This window comes from Homo sapiens, chromosome 3 (assembly GCF_000001405.40).
Source record: "Homo sapiens chromosome 3, GRCh38.p14 Primary Assembly".
Classification (NCBI taxonomy): Eukaryota; Metazoa; Chordata; class Mammalia; order Primates; family Hominidae; genus Homo; species Homo sapiens.
Window position 1 is genome coordinate 13,623,388 of NC_000003.12, and position 18,796 is coordinate 13,642,183.

The following is an 18,796-nucleotide window of genomic DNA, read 5'->3' on the forward strand; positions in this document are numbered from 1 at the left end:
AAGGGCACATTCCATTCAGCAAAATTGATGAGCTCACATGCATTCCTTTCTTTCTTTCCCTCCTTGTTCATCCTGTACAAACCCGTCAGCACCTCTTCATCCTTCCATGCCCCTCGCACACGTGTTCATCCCGTCGTGTTAGTACCTGCCGCGCGTTCTTTCCGTCATTTGTACGTCCACAAATGTCCACTGGGCTCTCCTGCAGTTCATTTGTTTGCTCTGCACTTGTTTATTAACCCAGGCAGGTGAGATGCGAGGCTTATGCTAGGATCAAGAGTGTGGCCTTTGCAGCCAGCCTGCCTGCCTGTGCTGAAATCCTGGCTCTTTCAATTTTTAATCATAAGACCTTAAACCAGTTGGTTAAACTCTCTGAGCCTCAGTTTCCTCATCTGTGAATGAGATAACAGCACCTACCTCAAAGAGTCATTGTGGGGATTAAATGAATTAGTCCATTTAAAGAAGTTGCTACTCTTGTGACATCATTGTTATGATTCAACCAATGTTTCACTGAGGCAACCTGCAGAGGTAGTAAGCTCCCCATCACTGGAGGTATGTAAATCAAAGTGGGACAGTATTGGGTGTGACCTGTGCCAAGGACTCCCCTGTGTTTACCATTTGCCTTTTGTGGTCTGTACTTTGAAGACTGTCTTGGGCACAGGGAAAAGTGTTGCAGGTGGTCCAGGCTGCAAGATGTGAGGGAGGCAGCCCCCCAGCTCTGAGCCCCCCATGAAGTGGTGCTGCAGCAGTGCTTGAATGATGGGTACAAGGGTACAGCTCTGGGCCGGGCACTCTGGCTTCCGTTCTTGATCTGCCACATGGCTGTCCGTGTGACTCTGGTCCAGTCACAGCACTACCGGGAGGCTGATTTCCTCCTCTGAGAAATGGGGCTTGCAGAACGATGTCCTCTAAACCACCTGACCCTGGTGAGCCTCCGCTCATGGTGCTGCTGTTGTTACCATAATTCCTCCAGGCTGTGGGAGGCTCTTGGGTTATGGGCATTTCTGGGGTCCTGGGAATGGTCTCCCTCTGTAAGTCCAGCCTGTAAATCAGAAATCTTTATCTTGCCCAGCCAAGCCTTCCTTGGAAACCACTGGCCCAGAACTTTCCCTTTCCCTCCTCCCCATTCCCAGCCATCCCCGGGTCTGCCTGGCCTGGACACTGTTTGGTTCACCTGTGAGTTTGGGAGGGTCTCTTTCCCCAGGGCCTTGGCCTCCACCTCTCCACCTGGTCCTCTAGTCATCCTTGTAGACTCAGCTCGAATGTCACCACTCCTGAGAAGTGGCTCTGATGGTCCAGACCACAGCAGGCAGTTCTCTGGCCAGAGCCCCCAAGCCTCCACCTGCCTGTCCTTGAGGGCCGGGGCTGGGGCCGACACACCCACTTGGTCACAGGAGCCTAGCACAGAGTTATGTGTGTGGAATGGATGGATAAGCAGGGGACTAGTGCACCTGACCGCCGCCACAAGGTGCAGCACCAGGAGGGGGTAGATGGGTCAGCCTTCCACACTGGCTTAGCGCTGGCCTTGGGGCGGTTTCTGAGTTGGTGGCCTCTGTGGCCCCTGGGCAGTTCCTGAGTTGGTGGCTTCTGTGGCCACTGTGGCCCGGGGGTGGTTTCTGAGTTGGTGGCCTCTGTGGCCCCAGGGCAGTTTCTGAGTTGGTGGCCTCTGTGGCCCCGGGGCAGTTTCTGAGTTGGTGGCCTCTGTGGCCTGGGGTGGTTTCTGAGTTGGTGGCCTCTGTGGCCCGGGGGTGGTTTCTGAGTTGGTGGCCTCTGTGGCCCTGGGGCAGTTTCTGAGTTGGTGGCCTCTGTGGCCCGGGGGTGGTTTCTGAGTTGGTGGCCTCTGTGGCCTGGGGGTGGTTTCTGAGTTGGTGGCCTCTGTGGCCCGGGGACAGTTTCTGAGCCTCTGTGGCTCCCCACCTCCCTTATGCGTCCTCTCTCTCCTTCACTGGCTTCTCCTCTCCCCAACTGCTTATCCCTGGAATCTCCCAGGAGCTGGTCCTTGGCCTCCTCTCCGTGTGATCTCTCCCCTGGGTGGCCTCAGCCATCTGACCATTCTCAAGTTAGTATTCCCACTCAGACCCCTTGTGTGAACTCCAAGGCATGTCCTCAGCTGCCTCTTCACCCTCAAACTCTCATGGCCAGCAGGGCTCCCACCTTCCCCTGCAGCCTACACCTCACAGCCGGCCCTCACTGCCACCTGTCCAGCTGCTTGGCCAGAAGCTCTGGGCCCCTCTTCCTGCCTCACCTTCATCTCATCCATCAGTGGGTTTTGTTGGTTCCAGCTTCACAATACTTCAGAATCTAGCCACTTCTCCCAGCCCATTGAAGGTAGTCCGAGCCACTGAATCTCCTGCCTGGATCCTCACCCCTATTCTCCAGCCCCTGCCAGGGATCCTTGCTCCAAATAAATAAGACCACTTTCTCTTCTGCTTGGAACTCTCTATGGCTCCCTCCATTCCTCCTGCTCACCCTCTTTCTCCCTTCCCTCCCCTGCAGCACACCCACCTCCTGGTGGGCCCTTGAACCTGCACAGCTGGCTTCCTTCTCAGGGCCTTTACATCCCTGACGCCTCTGCCTGGACTGTCTGCATGGCCCAGTCTGTCATCTTGTCACATCTTTGCTCAGATGTCTTCTTTTCTGAGAATCCATCCCTGACCCATCCCGCCCAGCGCCCCCCGCTGTACCTGGGCACTCCCTGTCTCCTGCGTCCTGCTCTGTTTTATCCATAGCACTCATCACCACCTCCATTTATGTTTGTTTATGTATTTATTGTGTCCTCTCCCCTTGAGTGTCTGCCCCACAAGGGCAGGGATTTCTGTCTTGGTCACTGATGTACACCCAGTGCCAAGAACAGTGCTTGGTGCATAGCAGGTGCTCAATAAATCTTTGTTGAATGAAGGGATGTTTGGGTGCCGAGACATCAGCCACATCTCCGAATGGTGAGCTCCCTGAGGGCAGGGCCTGGAGCTCTCTCCCTCCTGGTGGCCCAAGGTCTGCTGGCTGCACTCAGCCACTGTCCTGGGGACTCTGCAGCCTCTGATGGCCTCGCTCTCCCTGCAGACATCAACGAGTGTGTGACGGACCTGCACACGTGCAGCCGGGGCGAGCACTGTGTGAACACACTGGGCTCCTTCCACTGCTACAAGGCACTCACCTGTGAGCCAGGCTATGCCCTCAAGGATGGCGAGTGCGAAGGTGAGAAGGGCCCAGAAGGACCAACTGGAGGCCCCGCCCCATGGCCAGTTTTGCCCCGCCCCTCCCTGGTCCCACCCCTGTCCTGCCCTGGCCACCCTTAGGCCTGGCCACGCCCCTCTCCATCCCCTCCTTTCTAGCAAGCTCCCCTTAGTTGGGTTTCCTGCTGGTGGGAAGACCCCACAATGGTGGTGTTTGGGGCGGAGATGGGAGTCTGAGGCAGGGTGAGGGCAGGCTAGGTCCACCCCGGCTTTGCTCCTGCCTGCTGGTGTCTGGGTGCCAGTTATCCCCCTTGCTGTGGCCTGGTTTGTACATTGAGGTGGAGCCCACAGAGGGTTCACTCTGTCCCTTTTACTGGAAAATTCTAGCCTTCTAATCAGAGGGAGGGGTTTCATCCAACCCTTTCAACAAGTACGTCCTGAGCTGCTCTTATGTGCCTGCCGGGTCCTGGGTACCAGGGATCCAGGGTGGGGTGCTGTGGCCCTTCTCTGACCTTGTGGTTGGGGCAGCGGGGTCCACACAGGCAAACAGAGATGGCAGAGTGACTGGGGGCTGGGGGCCCCTGTAAGTGGTGGGTTCAAGGAGGCCCCTGGAGGAGGTGACGTTGGAGTTGAGACCTGAATGAGAAGCTCCTGGGGAGGGTGTTCAGGCAGAGGGGGCAGCGTGCCAAGGCCTGTTGGGTGTGGGGAGGAAGCACTCTTGGCATGTTCCAGAAACAGAAAGACAGTCTCCGGGGTTGGAGCCTTCTTGCTACCTGTGCTACCTCCCTAAAGTGTGAACACATGACCTTACCTTAGAGATTTAGGCACACGGTGGGGATATCCCCACTTCCGCCCCCTGCAAGTGTGGGACAGCGGCTAACAAAGCAGGCTTGGGAGCCAGTCCCCCGGGTTCTGGTCCTGGTCCAGTGCTCCCCAGCAGTAGAGCCTTGTCTCTGCCTCAGCTTCCCTCCTTGTAAGATGGGGCTTGTCATGACATCTACTTCTTACGGCTGTGTGGGGTTTAAGGAAATAAATCCATCTCAGGTGCTCAGAACAATGGTGGGACCAAAGAGAAGCGCAGTAAACATGGTCACGTTGTTATTACTCCTGGGACAAAGGCCATGCCGGCAACAATGTGGCTGTGCCAGCTTCCCAGGGAGATCTTTGTGGCCATCAGGGTCATGGGTCTGAGGGCGGGGATGTGTGGGCAGGGCTGCTGAGTGTAAAGGCAGGACCTGCCCCCCAGCCCTTGACACCCAGCCTCTCCGCTGCAGACGTGGATGAGTGTGCGATGGGCACGCACACCTGCCAGCCGGGCTTCTTGTGCCAGAACACCAAGGGCTCCTTCTACTGCCAGGCCAGGCAGCGCTGCATGGATGGCTTCCTGCAGGATCCTGAAGGCAACTGTGTGGGTGAGCGGGGGCTGCAGGGCTGGGGATCATCAGCCTAGGGCTCTACTGGAGGCATTGTGGGGGCTTTTAGGGCTTTAGAGACCAGGGAGGCCTGGCTTGCTGCTCCATTCCTCTCCCAGCCCCCTTGTCCCTACCTGTGAATGGGCATGTCAAGTGTTCAACCCTGGGGGCACCACTGTCCCCAAAGTGTAGCTGCTCCTATTACCTTGAGCTGTGAAACCTTGGCTGAGTTATTATTCAGTGGCCTCTGTGAAGCTATCTGTGGGGTTGGACTGGATACGAATGAGTATCCCTTTTTTTTAACCAGTCAGCAGTGGCTATGTGATAGATCATGACCTGGCACAGACATCTACACACATCCAGGAAGAACTGCAATACCAGTGTCCCCACACAGTACTGCATGTGACACCCACTGAAATTTCCCATTTTCAGAGAATGCTAGTGAGACCTCCTAGAGTGATTCCATGCCGTACTCGAGGGTTGAGACTTAACAGTTTTACAGATGCCGGCCTAGTCCCCAAGTGGGTCTGAGATTCTACCCGCTCTGCGCCCCCCATCAACTCCTTCCAAAAAAGGGTTTGCTTAGTCTCTGTGCCTCTAAAACTTCTTGTTAATGTGCTGTGCTTCCCTGGCAGCTAGACCCCTGGCACGTGGTTGGTGTAGTTATCCTAGCACTCAGCCTCGATCCCGCCCTGCCTCCAGCTGCTCTGTTGGGCAGATGTGAGAGGGCGTAGGGCCAGCCATCAGGTGCTTGGGTTCTGGGAGGTGTATCCCTTGGGTAGTGGGGCACAGGGGTAGGACAGTCTGGCCCTGCAACTCTGACCAGGGCAGGTCTGGAGCCCAGGACCGACCCCCTCCCAGTGTGGCCCTGGGAGGGGCTGGGGCCTGGGAGGACACCATGCCGGGCTCCCTGTCACCTACACCTGCCTCTGCAGACATCAACGAGTGCACGTCACTGTCCGAGCCATGTCGGCCAGGCTTCAGCTGCATCAACACGGTGGGCTCCTACACATGCCAGAGGAACCCGCTGATCTGCGCGCGCGGCTACCACGCCAGCGATGATGGGACCAAGTGTGTGGGTAAGGCCAGCCGCCTCCGCCCTGCCAGCCAGCCCGGCCTGCCCGCTTCCCCACCCCTGGGAGGTGTGTGTGGAGGGAGCCCCAGGCCTCAAGGTACCCTGCTCACCCCCCACAGACGTGAATGAGTGTGAGACAGGTGTGCACCGCTGCGGTGAGGGCCAAGTGTGCCACAACCTCCCTGGCTCCTACCGCTGTGACTGCAAAGCCGGCTTTCAGCGGGATGCCTTTGGCCGGGGCTGCATCGGTAGGTAGGCTGGTGGCCAGGACCCCTGGGGAACACCTGGCTGGTCCCCTGCCCTCTGTGCACTCCACCTCCCCATGCCCAGCACCTCCACTGCCTGAGTGGGGCCCACCTGCTGGAGTCCACAAGGTCGCCTTCCAGCTGGCCTCATCCTCCTGCTGGGCCTGCCAGGACCTGGCTCTGGCCCCCGCCCCCACCTTCTCAGTCCCTCCTGTCTCATCTCTGTGCCTCTGCCCCTCTTACTCTGGTCTTTCCTGCTTCCCTCGGTCTCTGTCACCATCTCTTCTTGTCTGTTGCTTTGCCTGTGTCTGTCCCTCTGGCCTCTTCCTCTCGCCTTCCTCCAATACCCTTGCTGCCTCCCCGCCACCTGGTCTCTTTGCCTCTCTCTTTCCCTGTCCTGGCCTCTCCCTGTCTTTCCTTCTGGGTCCCTCTCCCACTTAGCCTCCCCTTCGGCCCTGGATGGCCCTTGGGGGTGGAGGGAGCTGGCTTTAGGGCCACCTACCCTGTACCTGCTGCCTGCCCTCCCACAGACGTGAATGAGTGCTGGGCCTCGCCAGGCCGCCTGTGCCAGCACACGTGTGAGAACACACTCGGCTCCTACCGCTGTTCCTGCGCCTCCGGGTTCCTGCTAGCAGCGGACGGCAAGCGCTGTGAAGGTAGGCTGGCCCTCATCTCTGACCCTATGCCGCCTGGTATCTGTAGTGGGCAGACCCGCCGTGGAAGGCCCAGAGCCTTCTGTGACCCTTCACCCTTACACCTTCACCCTCACACCTTCACCCATGCTGGCCCTTCCTTCCTCCTCTGTCTGGCCCAACCCTCTCTGGCCTCCACTCTCACCTTCCTTCTGTTGTTTTCTGCCCTGAATTCCCCTGCTGAGGTCCTGGGGCTCCAGCTCCCTCAGTCCAGAGAGGCTGGGTCTCTGTGTCATCTGTACCCACAAATAGGGTATCTGAGGCATCCAAGGTCCGTGTACCTACCTGTGCGGGACGCGCCTGTGGCTGAGGGAGGGGCTGTAACATTATTCCCATGTGTGTTCATGGTGCTGTTGGCCCCAGCTCAGTGGGGACTGGTGTGGAGTAAGGCCACCAGGCTGCTCAGTGAGGGGGCGAGGGGCCAAGCCAGAAGGCCATGGGGTCTTGGCCCCATTTACCTGGCACGGTCTTTCCCAGCCCCTCCCCAGCCTGGAGGCAATTTCCTCATTTTCTCCTGGTGAGGTGAGTTGGCTGAGACCCCTGGGAGGCCATGGATCCCTTCCCAGTCACCAGGCCTGGCAGGAGAGCTGGCCCTCGCATAGGTCAACCCCAGTCCAGGCCGGGGAGCTTGGTGGGCCTGGCTGTCAGACAGCATTTGGATGGGCTCTCCAAGGCAGACTTGGGCCCTGCCATGACTGCCTGCTGGTGTCCCTGCAGACGTGAATGAGTGTGAGGCCCAGCGCTGCAGCCAGGAGTGTGCCAACATCTATGGCTCCTACCAGTGCTACTGCCGCCAGGGCTACCAGCTGGCTGAGGATGGGCACACCTGCACAGGTACCTCTCCCCTGTCCAAGGGCCCCCTTCCAGAGAGTCACTCCTTTCCCTTGTGCCAGGCTCCCCGAGAGTCCCTGCTGGGCCATGGACACAGAAAGGTTTTAGCATCAGATCTGAGTTCAAGCCCCAGCCCTGCAGTTTCCTGGCTGTGTGACCTTGGGCAGATTGCCTCTCCACTCTGACCTCAGGTTCCTCCTCTGTAAAATGGGAAGAATGGTCCTGACTTCAGGGGGATGAAGACCTAAGTTTACATAGGTGCCCATGACTGGCATCTGATTGTCCCCTCAGCTGGTAGTAGCAGTCACGGAGCAGCCCTAGGGCATAAGCACTGGAGTGGGAGTCCTGTTTTGCTTCGTGGCCTTGGGCAACTCTCTTCTACTCTCTCAGTCCACTTGTCTTCATTTAAAAAATGGGCCCCTAAGCTCTATGGCTGTGACAGGGACAGGCTGACTGTCAGTGGCTGGGCTCTGTGGGTGGACGAGGTTCACCAGGGGCTGAACCTCTCTCTGACAGACATCGACGAGTGTGCTCAAGGCGCCGGCATCCTCTGCACCTTCCGCTGTCTCAACGTGCCAGGGAGCTACCAGTGTGCATGCCCTGAGCAGGGCTACACCATGACGGCCAACGGGAGGTCCTGCAAGGGTGAGCAAGTCCCCCCACACGCCCCCGCCTCCATCAGGGCCTTGGGCAGGCTCCAAGCAGGCACAGAAAAGCTCACACAGCTTGCGTGCACTTGGAGCCCCCACACCCAGTGAATAAATGCAGGATGGCCAATGCTACCAGTGGCCATGTTAACTGAGGTTGTGCCTGGGATGAAGAACGTGACAGTCTTGCTGCTGCTCAATCCAGCTTAGAATCTTCCAGGCTTGTGCTCAGCTCTGGACCCTGCCCTGAGAGTGGAACAGAGATACTATGGGGTGTTTCTACGGAGGCACGAAGCCTGCCCAGTGAGGAGACGGCAGAAGAGCCGCAGGGGTCCCAGGCAGTGTCCCGAGTCTCTGCAGTGTTATGCAGGGACAAGGGGATCAGGCAGGTCTGTGGACCCAGAGAGTAGGGCGGGATCCTGGGGAGTAGAGAAGGGTGTCATGGGGAGGCTTTTCCCAACCCTGGTGCAGAAGGGCATTCTCCTCATCAGAGCTGTGTAGAGCTGGGAGGGGCTGCACAATGGGAGGGTCCCCCACTCCCCTGCTATTGAGGATGTACAAGAGCTGGGCAGTCACCTGTGGAATTTGCAAGAGAGGGGACTGTGTCCCTGGATAGAGACCGTGTTCTGTGGTATTTAATGTTCCTCCTCTGCTAGAGAGTCGTACTTCTAAGTTCAGTGCCATTTGCCACCGGATTCTGGGCCTGGTAAGCCACCAGGGCAAGGTGAGGGGCCAGGACACAGAAGGGGTCATTGCCCCAGGAGAACCAACCACTCAGCCCCATGGCCTCTTGGCCTCTCGCTCCCTCGGCCCCTCGGTCCCTTGGCGCCGCAGAGCTCAGACCTCCTCCTGACTTCAGTGGCCAGGTCTTCCTCACACATGGAGCTGAGAACCTGGAGTTCCCTGGGGTGCAGCTTTCGGGGTGTGACCAGGGTCCTGGCCCAGCCTTGGGCATTTTCTTGGCCCGCAAAAGCAGAGGGGTCAGAGTTAGCTCCCAGAAGGGTTTGGAGTTAGCTCAGCACAGTGCAGGCTGGTGGTTGCTACCTGTCAGTGGATCCTGAGATCAAGTCGATAGACTTCAGCCAGCTGCCTGTGTTCTCCTTTCCATTAGCATAGAACAGAAAGCAGCATAGGGCAGAGTGGAGTGGCGTGGCATGGGGCAGGTCAGAGTGCAGTGTGACCCTAGGTTCCAGCCCTTATGTGTGTACCTAGTCCCAATGCACAAGGAGTCCTTTGTGTGGGTGGATGCAAACGTATCAGAGTCGTAAGTTAAGTCAGAAGACCATGAGAAGACCCTATAAATCACTGACTGGGAGGCCTGCTCGGCCCACAGAAGCTGGCTTACTTAGGTCTTGCTGGCTGCAAAGCCCTCTTCTTGTTAATTAAAAAAAAAAAGTCGGTATGGACTCCGTAAAAGGTAAGGATTCTATTCACCGTGTGCTCAGCTCGGCAGGAAATATGGCTTTATCCTTCTAGATTGTGATTTCACATGTGACACCAAGGCCCTGTTCCTCCTGGTGGCAGAACACAAGTGTGGCCACTTCAAGGAAGCCCCATCAGACACTGCAGTGACATTTGCTCTTGGAGGAGTTTCAGGATGCAAACCTGTCTGCATTGAGGACAGACTCTCCCTGGCTGTTTATTTTCTGACCTACACCAAACACCTTGGGGGTGCTCAGGACACCTGGATGCCCACATGTGCCTGGCTAGCCACTAGAGAGGGCTTCCCGGGACCTGGCATATGCCCATCGTGGGTGCACCTGACCCTAGCGCTTCTCTCCTGCCCGGGCTTGCCCGCCACCCCGTCTCTGCATCCTCTTCTTGGGGTGGCTGCTCCTCTGCCCCGACGACTTGCTCTGTGTTGAAGAACTGGCGAGGCCAGGTCCCCTCTGCAGGCCCCCAGTGTGCCACCAGCCCCACCAGGAGGTTGGGGCAAGGTAGAGCCCCACACCTGCACATCTGCCGCCCTCGCTTGCTCTCCAGACCTTCCTTCTGGAAGAGCCTTCTGACTCACATGGTGGGCAAGGGCACAGTGGGGGCTGCCGGCTCCCCGGCCTCATCCATTTCACAGGTCACTCCATGTAGCCACTTCTGCAGCTCCTGACCTTCAGAGCTAAGAGGCTGTCCTCTTCTCCTGTTCTGGCTTGGGCCAAACCCTGAGGTCTCTCGGCTCAAACAGGGTGGGGGGAGGCTGGCTTGGGGGAAAGAATGTGTTGGATAATGTCCCCGTTAGCCTTTAGCCTCTCTCCAATAGTTAAAAAAGAAAAGGACAGGAAAATCCGAAGGAATTTAGACTCAGCCCTCTCACCTGGCATGCACACTCCATGAAGGTAGGGCCCTATCTGTCCGGCTCACCAGCATCTAGAGCAATGCCCAGCACATAGTAGGTGCTCATTGGACAGTTGACCCCATGACTGAGCTGAGTGGGAACCACTGCTCATGTTTGCATGCATTTCCCTCCAGTCTTTCCCTTAGCAGATATAAACACACTGCAAACACACACACACACACACACACACACACACACACACACACAGCTGAAAGTCACTCTGAGTCCCGGTCGTTTCTGTGTAGTAAGAGCCCATCTCTGCATGCCACTCGATGGGGCAGGCCAGCTTTGAGCAGCACTCTCGGTCTTGCCCCTGAGCTGTTGTGGGCTTCTGGGCCTCAAGTCCTTCAGAAGCCCTTGGAAGCCTCTCTTCCGGGGCTGAATTTTGCAGGACTCCCCTGTTTCGTCCTTTTTGCTCTGTCACCCACTTTTGCACATCTGAGTTGCGGCTGACCCTGGCTGTCTCTGATGAGGCTGTGATGGCAGCCCTGGATACGGGGCCTAGTCCAGCTCCCACGTTAGCCTGCGCTCTCCAGGGGCCTGGCAGCGCCGATGGGCGAGGCCCTGGGGCGTTAGGGAAGACCTGCGACTGACCGCCTCCCGCGAGCTTGGTGAGGCCAGGCTGTAGCCGCTCACCCTTCTTGGCCCTTCCCTTCTGGGCATCTCCATCAGCAGCAGCCCAGAGCCAAAGCAAAAAGCTCCCACGTCCTTCCTGCCCCACCCACATAAGCTCCAGGGTCACTGGAGCGGGCCACCGGGGGCATAGGCCAAGGAGCAGGAGGAGGCCCTCTCCATGTGGAGTCCACGAGTGAATAATCAGCAGCCTGGGACCACCCGGTTGGGCTCTACCCTGCCTGGCCTCTTGCCGTGTTTTCTCCCACTCACTTCTGCGCCACCCTGGGGCCTATTTTACGGAGGGAGGGAAGTGAGGCCTGGAGAGGTAAATAGATGTGAGCTGACCCGCTACAAGAGAGCCTGGCAGCCAAGAGCCCAGAGTCTGAGGCGGTCCGGGGGTATTGAGTCCTGGCGTTGCCCTGGCAGCTATGTGACCCTGGGCACATTTGTGGACACCTGCACCTGCCCCGTGGGGTTGGCGTGGGTGCAGAGTCCCTCAAGCATCACAGGGATGTCAGGCAGTAAACTCTGGAGGCAGGCTGACTATTGGTATTATTACTATTATGTTGTTGTTATTGTTAGGAGTCAGCTTGGCATCATGACTGGGTCCCAGATTTTGGCATCAGGCATGCCTGACTTGCTGCCCCGCTCGCTGCTGTGTGATCTTGAGCAAGGCTTTGCCCCTCTCTGAGCCTCCACACCCTCCTCTGTCTGAGGAAGCCAGTGACCCTCGCTGCACAGGGCTGGTGTGAGGACTGAGTGAGGACAAATTCCTAAATGGTGTCAATATGGAGGATTGGAAAACAAAAACTGAAGCCCTCTGTGGTTGCCCCTGGAACACCCCCTGCCCCTACCCCACGGGACTTTCTGGAGGCCTCCTGAGGCGGCCCTCTCTGGGCTGAGCAGCTCATCCTCAAAGTTTCTCAAGAACCCATTTCTAAGACCTTTTGTCCTCCAGGGTGCCTGTGGGTTACACACACACACACACACACACACCCACACACACCCCTACCCCACCCCTGCTTCTCTGAGCTTTCGTGAATGGTATCTATTCATATGTCTGTTGACGTTTATATGTGTATGTTTCTTTGTCCCAAATGGGCCTTCTGTGTGTTTGTTTCTGTGCACCTGTGGAGGTGTGCGTGTGCTCACGTGTGTGCTGAACCTATGTGCCTGTTGGAGTTGCACATGTATGTTTGCTTCTGAATGTACAGGAAGCGTGAGCACGTCTGTTGCTCATGGGGGACATTGACTCATAGCTTTGCGTCTCGGAGTCGGGACTTGCAAGTGATGGGTCTTGGACTTCCATCCAGCAAGAAGTATTGAGCGCTGCTCCATGCAGGCACTCCACTGGGCACTGGGGACAGCATGGGAATGAGAAAGACAAACACCCCTGCCCTCCTGGAGCCCAGGTTGAGGGGGGACGGTAGAAACATACAAAACATGCAGCCATACCAAACAGCCTCGGTGTGTTGCAGAGCATGGAGCCATAGGAGGATGATAAAATGGGGTGGGATGGAGGGTGATGGGGCAGGAGGACCACTGTAGAGTGGTCAGGGAGGCCATCCTGGAGGGGGTGACTCAAGATCTGAGAGTTAAAAGATGAGAAGCCTCCAGCAGTAGGAAAAGCTGGGGATAGCGTTCCAGCAGCAGCAAAGGCCCTGGGTAGGATAAGGGTCAGGCTATTGGGGCAGCCCAAGGATGTCCAGCAGGACTGTGGCCTCTGTGGAAGAGAAGGAGCTTAGAGAGGCCAGAGAGCCTTGCACTGTGTGGCTTGGCATCCAGGGGAGGGAGCTGGGCTTTATTCTGGAGCGCGAGAAGCCTTGGGAGGGCATGACATGAGGTGATTGACACTTTAGAGCCAGGCCCCCTGCTGCGGGGTGCCGAGCAGGTGAGATGGGGCATGTGTGTGCAGGGAGGCACGCGGGCTATTCTCACAGGTCCGGCTGCCGTGGGGCCCAGGCCTTTCATGCAGGCTGGGGAGTTTCAGGCTGGGTCCCCCAGCTGTGGGGACCCTGCCATTGCCCCTCTTCTCCCCCAGACGTGGATGAGTGTGCACTGGGTACCCACAACTGTTCCGAGGCTGAGACCTGCCACAACATCCAGGGTAGCTTCCGCTGCCTGCGCTTCGAGTGTCCTCCCAACTATGTCCAAGTCTCCAAAACGTGAGTGTCCCCACCCCAGTCCCAGTCCCAGGGAGCCTGTCCTGGTCCTGTACTATCCAGGGAGAGGCTGAGAGATGGGCGCCTGCCTTGATCACCTCCCTCTCGTCCCAGCCCCTGACTGCTGGGTCTGTGGGCTAGGTGACCAAAACAAATATAAGTAGCTTTTAGAGAGTTCAGGGTTGAGAGAAGGAAGGGGAAAAGACACACAGAAAACACCAGCCCTCTTCCTCATACACACACATGGTAGTTACTGCTGTGTGACCAGTTATCCCAACCAACATTTAGCACCAGAATACAACAGATACTTACTCTTTGTCACGCAGTGTCTGAGGGCTAGGAGCCTGGGAGTGGTGTAGCTAGGTGGTCTGGCTCAGGATCTCAGGGGCTGCCTGTCCGGGGTGCGGGATCCTGCCACTGCTCATGGGGCTCTGGGCAGGAGGCCTCAGCTCCGCATCACATGAGCCCCTCCACAAGGCTGCTTGTGACATGCCACTCCCCAGCTCAGTGTATCAGAAGTGCCAGCGGCAGCCCCTTAACCTCACTTAACCTCAGAACTGACAGACCGCTACTCTGCCACCAGCCACACGGCCCGGCACTTGGGAGGGACCCTGGGAGGGACACTGGGTGCACTGGGAAGAAGGGAGAAGGAGGAGGAAGGGAAGGGGAGAGGGAAAAGGAAGGAGAAAGGAAGAATGGGAGGATGGCAGGAGGGAGGAAGAAAGGAGCATGGGGACAGGTAAGAGCTGTTAACGAGCCTGGCCAGTGCCATGCTAAACTCACCCATTCCAGTGAGCCGGTGAAGGTTTTATTAACCTCATCTCGCAGGCAAGGAAACTGAGACCCAGGGGACGTAAGGGGACTTGCCTGAGGCTTCCCGGCCATTAGGGAGAGAGCTGGCCCTTGATCCTGCCGCTGAGCTGTGCCATCTGTGTCCCCGTCTGGGGATGAGGGGGGTGGGCGAGCTGTGGGTGACCCGGCCTATCCTCCCTGCAGGAAGTGCGAGCGCACCACGTGCCATGACTTCCTGGAGTGCCAGAACTCGCCAGCGCGCATCACGCACTACCAGCTCAACTTCCAGACGGGCCTCCTGGTGCCTGCGCATATCTTCCGCATTGGCCCCGCGCCAGCCTTCACGGGGGACACCATCGCCCTGAACATCATCAAGGGCAATGAGGAGGGCTACTTTGGCACGCGCAGGCTCAATGCCTACACGGGTGTGGTCTACCTGCAGCGGGCCGTGCTGGAGCCCCGGGACTTTGCCCTGGACGTGGAGATGAAGCTCTGGAGGCAGGGCTCCGTCACCACCTTCCTGGCCAAGATGCACATCTTCTTCACCACCTTTGCCCTGTGAGGTGCCAGCACGGGCCACCTGCGGGTGTGGCGCAGCCCAGGGCTCACACTGCGTGGGAGGGACTGGGTCACTATTGTGGTTTTTACTATAACTTTGTAAATTAACTTAATTTTGCTGACTTGACTCCTGTGGCTTCTGGACCCCTCCTCTGCCCCGCAGGAGGAAGTTCCACGGCAGGTGGTGCGTTCCCACGCAGGCACCAAGTGGAAGCTTGCACGGTGGGCCACGGCCGTGGCGGGTGCCCTGTGGGTGAGGCTGGGTGATGACCTGAGGACCAGAGACACGCGACCATGTTGGGGCTCTTGGACTCCTCTGGATGACCCGTCCCCAAAGTTGACATTCCATTTCATGTTCCACTGTGATTAATTCTTTTCTTTTTTAAAAAATCATTTTAAAGTTTTTTGTTTAACTATAAAGTAGTACATGTACATTATATAAAAAAAAGTTCAACTAGTATGAAAGGGTTATAAAGTAACAGAGGAAAACGCCTCTTGGTCCCTTTACTTTTGTAAAGTGTTCAGAGTTTGACAACGTTGTCCAGATGTCACAGGGCTCTATGGCCTGGCCAGCATGTCAATTCATTGATGAAGACCTTGATGTCCTTCTCAACGAGCCCCGAACCTGAAGTTCACTTTGGGATGAGGGCACCCCAGTGTGATCAGTCACTGACCAGGCTCTTTATTCTGCTTTTACCACTTCAGCTTTCCCTCCTCCTTCCTCCTCCCTCCTCCCTCCTCTGCCTTCCCCCCATGAAGACCTCCACTGATGGCCTGTCACTTGGATGTTGTCCAGAACTTGTCCTGGCCCCTGTTGCTGAGCTGTCAGGTCAGGCAGTAGACCTGGGCAGGAGCCTGAAGGAACCTGGGAAACTGAGGCCCTGAGAGCGGAAGCGATGTGCCCCCAGCCCACAGCGAGCATCAGAGCAGGTGTCGGGACCCAGCTCTGATGACCCTGCTCGGGCTCCGTGGGTCTAGAGTTAAATATAGGGGGCGGCAGCCAGCACTTTTAAAATGACGTAGAATAGAGCAGATGAGATATGAGTGCTTCACACCCTGTAAAGAGAAGAACTGCTTCACCAAACCACAGTACATGGGGCGTGTGCACCTATGCGTGGGCACGCTAGCTCTGGCTTTTGGTAGAAAGTGTTTCTCACTGTGGGTGGAGGGAAGCAGGCCTGTCGGGGCGCGCTGGGCAGCACATGCCCTGTGTGAAGGGGGCGCCTACACTTGGCTCCAGCAAGGCCGCCTTCTGGGCGCGTGGCCCGGGATGGCCAGATGTTCTCATTCCTCAACACAAACTCTCTCAGTGTTAAGAGGTGGCGACTTGCTCAGGCTTCTAAAGGACAGGTGTTTGGGAGCCTCTTGCCGGAAGCCTGCGGTGGGGGCCCTCTGTCCCTGCTCCTCGCCGGCCCCCATCCCCAAGGGTGCAGCAGAAGCCAGGTCTTCCCTGTCCCTGTCCGGGCTGTCTCTGTTCCTTCTATTTTGCTGATTTTCAGAAAAACTAGATCCGGCACCTTTGTGGTGCACAGTCCCCACCAGCGGGAACCAGTAGGTGACAGGCTCCATTCAACAGGACAGGCAGGTTAGGGACACCCCTGGCTGGCAGCAGCCGTTCCTGCTCCTACCCAGCCCCGGTTACTCCTTCTGGGACCTCAGGCAAGTGACTTCGCCTCCCCTCACTGGTCTCCCCTGTGAACAGGGGCTCCAGCTGTTCTTCCTGCACAGGCCATCGAGCCAGTAAAATGAACTTGGCACCCAGCGCATCCATACGGAGGGTCTTGGAGAACAACTTCTCTCCGGACCTTAGAGTTTCTAAGGTGATTCTAGAATTCCATGCCGGCAAGTTTGGCAAACTGCAGCTTCAGGGAATAGCCCCTACAAGACTACCCTCACTGCAGACCAAGAACTGCACACCAGAAACAAGCTCAGGCATCCCTAGGACCACCCTCACGTCTGAGCAATGGGCTACAGGTTTGGGGGTCCTTACATCCACCCTCAGGCTCATTAATTCACCTGCATGACTCAGACAGTTTATGGTGAAAGGAAGCAGGTTAAAGTCATTGATGAATTCTAGAGCAGAGTCCAGGAGAGCCCAGTCACGGAGCTCCCGTGTCCTCAGGATGCAGCACAACAGAATAGAGCTGAACAGGGCACCTTTGGGGTCCAGGTGTGTCTGGGAGCTTGACCACCTGGCTGTCAGCGTGGCTGGCCCTAAGTCTCCAGTCCCTCGCAGAGGTCAGAACTGAGGCAGCAAAGCCCCTGAAAACGCTGGTACTCCAGTGCCAGCCAGGACGTTCTGGGGGCCGAGAGCTCACCCTGCAGGCCACCCCCGGCCCCGGCCCCAGCGTTCTCGCAGTGGAATAGTCACGTTTGTCTGGGCAGCTCCTTCAGCGTTGCCTGCTTCCTCCCTTGTGGCAGGGCTGCCCGTGCCTATGAAGCATGTAAAGAACCACCGTGTGCAGGCGTTAGCCCGGGGTTGGCTCCACCTAGCTCTTCCGCAGGTGTCATTCTCCATCGTTGCTACATCCTGAGGAGGCTGGAACTCAGGGTTTCAATACATTTGCCATCACCATCAACGTTATAACCTTATCAACCGTGCCAGGTAGGACCATATTGCAGTCTGGTGGATGTCACCTAAAAAGGAAGACCGGAGTCCCACTCAGTCATAGCAGTTTATCTAGTCCATCACCACATCAGATCAGCAGATGTCCCCCAGGGTGAGGCCACTCAGGTTTGCAGGCTGCCATTCGACCTTGTCAAGTTCCAAAAGCAGAGGCGGCCTTGGCGTCACCCTTTCAGGCATCTAGTGTAGTTGAGCTGAGACGATGCCCTCCACGCCGCTCTTAAGGTAGTACTGTAATGTAGGATTCACGTAAAATTGGATTTCCCGGCCGGGCGCGGTGGCTCACGCCTGGAATCCCAGCACTTTGGGAGGCCGAGGTGGGCGGATCCCCTGAGGTTGGGAGTTAAAGACCAGCCTGACCGACATGGAGAAACCCCATCTCTACTAAAAATACAAAATTAGCTGGGTGTGGTGGCACATGCCTATAATCCCAGCTACTCAGGAGGCTGAGGCAGGAGAATTGCTTGAACCAGGGAGGCGGCGGTTGTGGTGAGCTGTGATTGTGCCATTGCACTCCAGCCTGGACAACAAGAGCGAAACTCCGTCGCAAAAAAAAAAAAAAAAAAAAAAAAAAAAGGATTTCCCTCACTACATAACCCACGTACTGGTTGCTTTACCCTCAGCTCCGGTTCCTCCTTTTCTCCATTTGTATCCAGGTATTTCCACCTTTGGAAGGGCCATGAGGTTCGGCCATGCTGTTGGGCCGGATTGTCAGAAGCAATGCCAGCCTAGCAAGTGCCTCCCTGACAGTCCACTCCGGTTGGTGTAGGATGGGGCTTCACAGGTGTAGAACTAGTGGGCTGTCTCCACCACCAGGCAATGTGCCTGCCCTCACTAGCAGCCCTGATTTTTCCGGATGGGGTGAAGGCACCATCCACTCCATCAGCCCTCAGGAGCTCTGGCATGAAGCTTTGGAGCTAGAGGTGCACCCTCCTGCCTAGGAGTCATTGCTACCTCAGCACTTGCAGCTGCAGCCCTGGTCCTGGGGCCACTGCAGCAGATAGGAAAGGAGGAAGGCGAGGTGATGTGGAGAAGAAAAGAAAAGCAGTCTTACCAGCAACCTCCCTTCCCCAGTTCTCTTAGAAAAGGCATAGGAGGCCAGGCACAGTGGCTCACGCCTGTAATCCCAACACTTTGGGAGGCCAAGGCGGGTGGATCACTTGAGGTCAGGAGTTCGAGACCAGCCTGGCCAATATGGTGAAACCCCATCTCTACTAAAAATACAAAAAAAAAAAATTTAGCCGGATGTGGTGGTGCACGTCTGTAATCCCAGCTGCTTGGGAGGCTGAGGCAGGAGAATCGCTTGAACCCGGGAGGTAGAGGTTGCAGTGACCTGAGATCGCATGACTGCACTCCAGCCTGGGCAACAGAGTGAGACTCAAACAAAACAAAACAAAACAAAAACAGAAAAGAAGAGGTGTGGGACTCTATCTAGCAGGGACCCTCTCCTGGCCCTTCTCATGTTTGGGGTGGACACACACTTGTGATGGCGTGCAAGTCACTCTTTCCTGCCCCACCACCTCTGTTTTAGACAACCAGTATCCATGACATGTTCCAGTTCTCTATCCAACCTTACGCCAAGGATGAGAGTGCTCTGCCCCTTGTGGGACATTCAGGGCTGTAAAGTGTGTCCCTTGGTCGG

At 56.9% G+C, this 18,796-nt stretch overlaps 1 protein-coding gene across 3 annotated transcripts in view; it reads left to right on the forward strand.

Moving 5' to 3' along the window:
* FBLN2 (fibulin 2) overlaps nucleotides 1–15,017 on the forward strand; it is an 89,280-nt gene extending 74,263 nt beyond the window's left edge. For all 3 annotated transcript variants that reach the window (NM_001004019.2, NM_001998.3, NM_001165035.2), the window contains 9 exons: nucleotides 3,058–3,192; nucleotides 4,445–4,582; nucleotides 5,518–5,661; nucleotides 5,777–5,905; nucleotides 6,433–6,558; nucleotides 7,312–7,428; nucleotides 7,942–8,070; nucleotides 13,058–13,181; nucleotides 14,175–15,017. In NM_001004019.2, the coding sequence (NP_001004019.1) occupies nucleotides 3,058–3,192; nucleotides 4,445–4,582; nucleotides 5,518–5,661; nucleotides 5,777–5,905; nucleotides 6,433–6,558; nucleotides 7,312–7,428; nucleotides 7,942–8,070; nucleotides 13,058–13,181; nucleotides 14,175–14,532 (1,400 nt within the window). In that variant the 3' untranslated portion in view covers nucleotides 14,533–15,017. The remainder of the gene's footprint in view (nucleotides 1–3,057; nucleotides 3,193–4,444; nucleotides 4,583–5,517; nucleotides 5,662–5,776; nucleotides 5,906–6,432; nucleotides 6,559–7,311; nucleotides 7,429–7,941; nucleotides 8,071–13,057; nucleotides 13,182–14,174) is intronic.
* The last annotated feature ends 3,779 nt before the right edge of the window (nucleotides 15,018–18,796 follow it).